General features: G+C 44.9%; 4 annotated features.

Annotated features, from left to right (window-relative positions):
• Positions 616–705: an enhancer, noted in NCBI's record as "active region_10758". NCBI's record gives its function as "activates an Ori minimal core promoter by ATAC-STARR-seq in GM12878 lymphoblastoid cells {active_cell/tissue: GM12878}" and the evidence as "EXISTENCE:reporter gene assay evidence [ECO:0000049][PMID:35858748]".
• Positions 1,067–1,571: an enhancer, noted in NCBI's record as "H3K27ac-H3K4me1 hESC enhancer chr16:31255701-31256205 (GRCh37/hg19 assembly coordinates)". NCBI's record gives its function as "activates a minimal SCP1, AML or CMV promoter by ChIP-STARR-seq in naive H9 embryonic stem cells {active_cell/tissue: H9 hESC(naive)}" and the evidence as "EXISTENCE:reporter gene assay evidence [ECO:0000049][PMID:30033119]".
• Positions 1,572–2,075: an enhancer, noted in NCBI's record as "H3K27ac-H3K4me1 hESC enhancer chr16:31256206-31256709 (GRCh37/hg19 assembly coordinates)". NCBI's record gives its function as "activates a minimal SCP1, AML or CMV promoter by ChIP-STARR-seq in naive H9 embryonic stem cells {active_cell/tissue: H9 hESC(naive)}" and the evidence as "EXISTENCE:reporter gene assay evidence [ECO:0000049][PMID:30033119]".
• Positions 2,581–3,083: an enhancer, noted in NCBI's record as "OCT4-NANOG-H3K27ac hESC enhancer chr16:31257215-31257717 (GRCh37/hg19 assembly coordinates)". NCBI's record gives its function as "activates a minimal SCP1, AML or CMV promoter by ChIP-STARR-seq in naive H9 embryonic stem cells {active_cell/tissue: H9 hESC(naive)}" and the evidence as "EXISTENCE:reporter gene assay evidence [ECO:0000049][PMID:30033119]".

Consider the following 6,840-nt stretch of genomic DNA (forward strand, 5'->3'; position numbering starts at 1 on the left):
TTGTAGGTCCCTGATGCCTGGTACATAGTTGTTTCTCTCTCACTTTCTCTCTCTCTCTATATATATACACACATACACATTATATATACGTACACATTATATATATGTACACATTATATATATATATATATACACACACACACGTTATCTCTATATATCTGGATATATATGTATAGGTATACATATACCTATACATATAGAGAGAGAGAGAGAGAAAGAGAGATAGAGCAAGCTGGGCATGGTGGTTCATGCCTGTAATCCCAGCATTTTGGGAGGCTGAGGTGGGCAGATCACTTGAGGTCAGGAGTTCAAGACCAGCTTGGCCAACATGGTGAAATCCTGTCTCTACTAAAAAAACAAAAATTAGCTGGGCATGGTGACAGGTGCCTGTAATCCCAGCTACTTGGGAGGCTGAGGCAGGAGAATTGCTTGAACCTGGGAGGCAGCAGTTGCAGTGAGCTGAGACCTCGCCATTGCACTCCAGGCTGGGCAACAAGAGCGAAATTCCATCTCAAAAAAAAAAAAAAAAAAAAAAGAGAGAGAGAGATACTTTTTTTTTTTTTTTAAAGAGATAGAGTCTTACCCTGTTACCCAGGTTGGAGTGCAGTAGCACGATCATAGCTCACTGCAGCCTTGAACTCCTGGGCTCAAGAGATCCTCTTGCCTCAGTCTCTCGAGTTTATCTTGAGTTTATATATTTTAATGAGTAAATGAATAAGTGAGGAATTCATTGCTTCATTTCTAAGAGTCCAGCAGGAAGCCCAATAAATTGTAGTTGTAGATACCGGGGAAGTGAAACACATTAGGTAAGGGAGGCCCACTCCTCAATGGGAAAAGGGGAAGTGAGGAGAAACTTCAGAATAGCAAAGAGGAACCTGACAACAATTCAGTTCAGCCTTGTGGAATCCAGTGATGTGAGATAAAATCACTCGGTGTTTAACAGACACTGCTGAGCTTCCGATTACCCTGCCCTGGAGCTCCTGTCTGGCCTCTTTCTGTGATAGGATTCATGGGCTATTGTTTAAGTTGTGATCTCTGTTATTTGTAGCTCAAAGCATCCCAACAGACATAATCTCTGTTGTAAATACTTGGCATATAATCACATAACTTTTTTTTTTTTTGGGACAGGGTCTCACTCTGTTGCCCAGGCTGGAGTGCAGTCACATGACTGTGGCTCGTTGCAGCCTTGACCTCCTGGGCTCAAGTGATCCTTCTGCCTCAGCCTCCTGAGTAGCTGAAACTACAGGTGTGTACCACCCTAGACAACTAAAAATGCTTAATGGTTTTTGTGAAATGTGTTTTAGTGTTTAAAAAGCTATATTCTCTTCCTCCTTTTTTTTTTTGAGATGGAGTTTCGCTCTTGTTGCCCAGACTGGAGTGCAATGGTGCGATCTCGGCTCACCACAAACTCTGCCTCCCAGGTTCAAGGGATTCCCCTGCCTCAGCCTCCCGAATAGCTGGGATTACAGGCATGCGCCACCACGCCGGCTAATTTTGTATTTTTAGTAGAGATGGGGTTTCTCCATGTTGGTCAGGCTGGTCTCAAACTCCCGACCTCAGGTGATCCGCCTGCCTTGGCCTCCCAAAGTGCTGGGGTTACAGGCGTGAGCCACCACGCCTGGCCTTGTTTGTTGAGATGGAGTTTCACTCTTGTTGCCCAGGCTGGAGTGCCATGGTGTGATCTCAGCTCACCGCAACCTCCACCTCCCAGGTTCAAGTGATTCTCCTGCCTCAGCCTCAGCCTCCTGAGTAGCTGGGATTACAGGCATGTGCCACCATGCCCGGCTAAAAAGTATTTTTAGTAGAGATGGGGTTTCTCCATGTTGGTCAGGCTGGTCTTGAACTCCCGACGTCAGGTGATCTGCTCGCCTTGGCCTCCCAAAGTGCTAGGATTACAGGCGTGAGCCACTGTGCCTGGCTTTTTTTTTTTTTTTTTTTTTTTGGACAGAGTTTTGTTCTGTTGCCCAGGCTGGAATGCAGTGGTGTGAATTTTAAATTTTTCTGTAGAGATGAGTATTGAGGGAAATTCAGCCAGATATCGGGTGAAATTCACCCCTGATATTTCACATAGAATATTCTTTTCTATTTTCCCTAAGTGTCAGCTGGTCTGAGAAATAAAGGGACAGAGTACAAAAGAGAGAAATTTTAAAGCTGGGTGTCCAGGGGAGACATCACATGTCAGCAGGTTCTGTGATGCCCCCTGAGCCGTAAAACCAGCAAGTTTTTATTAGTGATTTTCAAAAGGGGAGGGAGTGTACGAATAGGATGTGGGTCACAGAGATCACATGCTTCACAAGGTAATAAGATATCACAAGGCAAATGGAGGCAGGGCGAGATCACAGGACCACAGGACTGGGGTGAAATTAAAATTGCTAATGAAGTTTCAGGAACGCATTGTCATTGATAACATCTTACCAGGAGCCAGGGTTTGAGAGCAGACAACCGGTCTGATCAAAATTTATTAGGTGGGAATTTCCTCGTCCTAATAAACCTGGAAGCGCTATGGGAGAGTGGGGCTTATTTCATCCCTACAGCTTTGACCATAAATGACGGCTGCCCCCCGAAGCGGCCATTTCAGAGGCCTCCCCTCAGGGATGCATCCTCTTTCTCAGGGATGTTCCTTGCTGAGAAAAAGAATTCAGTGATATTTCTCCCATTTGCTTTTGAAAGAAGAGAAATATGGCTCTGTTCCGCCTGGCTCACCGGCAGTCAGAATTTAAGGTTGTCTGTCTTATTCCCTGAACATTGCTGTTATCCTGTTCTTTTTTCAAGGTGCCCAGATTTCATATTGTTCAAACACACATGCTCTACAAACAATTTGTGCAGTTAACACAATCATCACCGGGTCCTGAGGTGACATGCATCCTCCTCGGTTTACGAGATGACGGGATTAAGAGATTAAAGTAAAGACAGGCATAGGAAATCACAAGGGTATTGATTGGGGAAGTGATATGTGTCCATGAAATCTTCACAATTTATGTTCAGAGATTGCAGTAAAGACAGGCATAAGAAATTATGAAAGTATTAATTTGGGAAACTAATAAATGTCCATGAAATCTTCACAATTTATGTTCTTCTGCCATGGCTTCAGCTGGTCCCTCCATTAGGGGTTCCGGGCTTCCCACAACAGAAGAGGTCTTGCTATATTATCGGTCTTGAACTCCTAGCTTCAAGTGATCCTCCCACCTCAGCCCCGCAAAGTCCCAGTGTGAGCCACTGCACCCAGCCTGGTTACATAACTTCCATGTGCCTCAGTTTCTTCATCTGCAAAATGGGGCTAGAATACCTTCTTCATAGGATTTCTATGAAGGGTCAGTGAGTGAACACATGCTAATCACTTAGAACCATGTCTGGCACAGAGTAAATTCTCAATCAGTGTCAGTTTTTATTATGTATTATTATTATTATTGTAAAATACAGTATGTCATTATAGTATGTATTGACTATTTGTTCTACATTTTCAATTTTCAAGAATTAGGCACTTTTAGTTATATTTTCAGTATTTTCTGTTTTTACCTTAATCTATCATTTCTGATTTTACCTTAATCAGGGATGTGGTATGTATCATTTCTGCCTTTCTGTGGCATGAAATTGGAATGGTATTTGTGAAATGAGTTTTAGTGCTTAAAAAGCTTTATTTATTTATTTTTTTGAGACAGAGTGTTGCTCTGTCGCCCAGGCTGGAGTGCAGTGGTGCGATCTCGGCTCACAGAAACCTCTGCCTCCCAGGCTCAAGCGATTCTAATGCCTCAGCCTCCCAAGTAGCTGGGATTACTTAAAGGCATGTGCTACTATGCCTGGCTAATTTTTGTATTTTTAGTGGAGATGGGGTTTTGCCATGTTGGCCAGGCTGGTCTCAAACTCCTGGCCTCAAGTGATCCATCCTCCCTGGCCTCCCAAAGTGCTGGGATTACAGGCGTGAGCCACCACACACCCACACACAGCCTATTCATCTTTTTTTTTAAAGACAGGATCTTGCTCTGTTGCCCAGGCTGGAGTGCAGGAGTGCAGTACATCATAGCTCACTGCAGCCTTGAACTCCTAAGCTCAAGCCATCCTCCTGCCCTTGACCCTCCAAGTAGCTGGCACTACAGGCATGACATACATCTATTAATGCTACCTTATTAGCTGTGTCGTTCACATCAACCAGTTAATTTGCATGTCTATAACTACATCTGAATTTGTGCGCGCTCTCTCTCTTTTTTTTTTTTTTTTTTTACGGAGTCTTGCTTTGTCCCCCAGGCTGGAGTGCAGTGACATGATCTCAGCTCACTGCAACCTCCGCCTTCTGGGTTCAAGTGATTCTCCTGCCTCAGCCTCCCGAGTAGCTGGGACTACAGGTGCTCGCCACCATGCCCGGCTAATTTTTGTATTTTTTAGTAGAGATGGGGTTTCACCATGTTGGCCAGGATGGTCTTGATCTCTTGATCTTGTGATCCGCCCGCCTTGGCGTCCCAAAGTGCTGGGATTACAGGCGTGAGCCACCGCACCCCGCCAGCATTCTTTGTCTTGTCCACAGCTGAAGTTTCCATTATTTATTTATTCAACCAAACTTCATCAAACTCCTTTTTAATGTAGCACATACCATGCTCAGTCTTAGGCGTATGCATTTGGATAATTCAAAATTGTTGCCTTCAAAAAGCTATAGTGAGAGAAATAACCTCATAAACAATAAGATCACAGTGTGAGGACTGCTAATAGAGCTGTGTGTAACAGAGCTTGGGGTTAAGCAGGAAAATTAGGGCAGGCTTCTCAGAAGAGGTGACAACTTGAGTTGGCCCTTGGAGAGCAAGTAGGAGTTTCTAAGGAAAACAAAAAGAAGCAGAAGGATGGTATTCCAGACACACCCAATAGTCAATTGTACTATTAGTTTGATGCAAACGTAATTGCGGTTTTGGCCATGACTTTAATTACTTTAGTTACATTTGCACCCACCTAATAATTATCTGAAACTGCATGACAAATGACCCTAAGCTTAGAGGCTTAAAACAACAGTAATCATTTCTTATCTCCCTTGATTTCTTTTCTTAAATTTAAAAAAATTTTTGGCCGGGTGCAGTGGCTCACATCTGTAATCCCAGCACCACAGTAGCAAAAATAGCTGCAGTGGTTCCAGGTTTTACATCACACTAGGAGGAGAAAAAACATCTTTGTCCTGAGATCCACTTTGATTAGACACATGCCCACACTTGAACCAACGACTTATGTCAGAGCGATAGAATAGTTGGATTGTCTTAGTGTAGTTCACATGCTCCACCCTCAGACCTGGGGCAAAGTCAGTTCTTCCCAAACCACGTAGTCCTCCAAGTGGAAATTGAGAGTCGCTGGGAAGGGGGAAACTGGATGCTGGGGAGATAACCACAAGTGTCCACACAAACTCAATTGTGATGTGGTTCATCTAAGCAACACTCAGTGAGCCCCAGCCAGATAAGGTGCTGGGTCCTGGGATAAAGCCATGAGCAGGACATAGTCACTGCTCTCAAGGCAGCCATTGTTTATCACCCCCCAAGAACGTAAGCTCCTTAAAGGTAGGGAGGTTTCCTCTCTCGTTCACATCCATTTCCCTGAGCCTGGAGCAGCACCTGGCACATAGTTAATACCTGTTGAATGAAGAGTCTAGTGGAAAGATGGGCATAATCTCCAAGTCATCACACCATATACAGTTTAATGCTAGCTCTAGGGACTTTGAGGGGCCAGGGTGTGTGATCCACCCTTTTACTTCTCCTCCTTTTTCTCTTCCTTCTGTTTGTGGCTCCCCCAGGGTGAGAGATTGAGAGGAAAGAATTGAAGGGATGGCAGGGGTTCCACATGACTGGTACCCATATGTGGTTGGAAATGCCCTGACTCTCTCTAGACTCCAAGCTGGGTCCATCTCTTGCTTGTGGTCCCCAGTAGCTGAAGTACAGCTGAGGTGTTCCTGGGGTTGCTATTTAGCTTAACCATGGCTCTCTCCTCTGCTGAGGAGCCCCTTGGAGTGAGAGATGCCTGCCTCCCCTCAGGGCTTTGCCTCCACCCTTTCTCCAACCTCTGTATTCCTTCATGTGGAACCAGGAAGCCCCCCTCTCCCTCAATTTCCCACTTTATTTAAGGCACATAAAACTTTTCTGGAGGAAAGCTCTTGTTGAATCTGCAGCCTCTCCCCAAACCCCAAGGCCTGTAAAGCTCTGAATAGAGAGGCCCTGAGCTGAATGTGACAGTAATGATACTTATATCAGGTCAAGGATGCCTAAGGACCATAGTTACTTTGTCAAATTGTACAAGATGTTTCATCCAGAGCGTGCTTAGAGTAATGATAATGATATGTGGCAGAGAGAGCTAGTTGCCCCCATGTGCTTTCCTCTTCTTCCTTTAGTAATGCAACCCCATTAATTAGCACACAGATACTTAGGATAACATCACATTTTCCAGTCACCACTGCAGTTGTGTGTGGCCATGTGACTAAGTCCTGGCCAATGAGATGTGAAGGAAATGATGTGTGCAACATTTGGTCTCACCTTTAAAGGAAAGGGGCCTTCCCACCATTTTTTTTCTTTGTTATGAGACAGAGTCTCACTCTGTCACCCAGGCTGGAGTGCAGTGGCATGCTCTTGGCTCACTGCAACCTCCACCTTCCAGGTTCAAGCGATTCTCCTGCCTCAGCCTCCCAAGGAGCTGGGACTATAAGCGCCCGCCACAATGGCTGGCTAATTTTTGTATTTTTAGTAAAGGCGGGGTTTCACCATGTTTGCCAGGCTGGTCTCGAACTCCTGACCTCATGTGAACCCACTTCGGCCTCCCAAAATGCTGGGATTACAGGTGTGAGCCACTGTGCCTGGCTTTTTTTTTTTTTGATACAGATTC

This window comes from Homo sapiens, chromosome 16, assembly GCF_000001405.40.
Source record: "Homo sapiens chromosome 16, GRCh38.p14 Primary Assembly".
In the NCBI taxonomy this organism is placed as follows: Eukaryota; Metazoa; Chordata; class Mammalia; order Primates; family Hominidae; genus Homo; species Homo sapiens.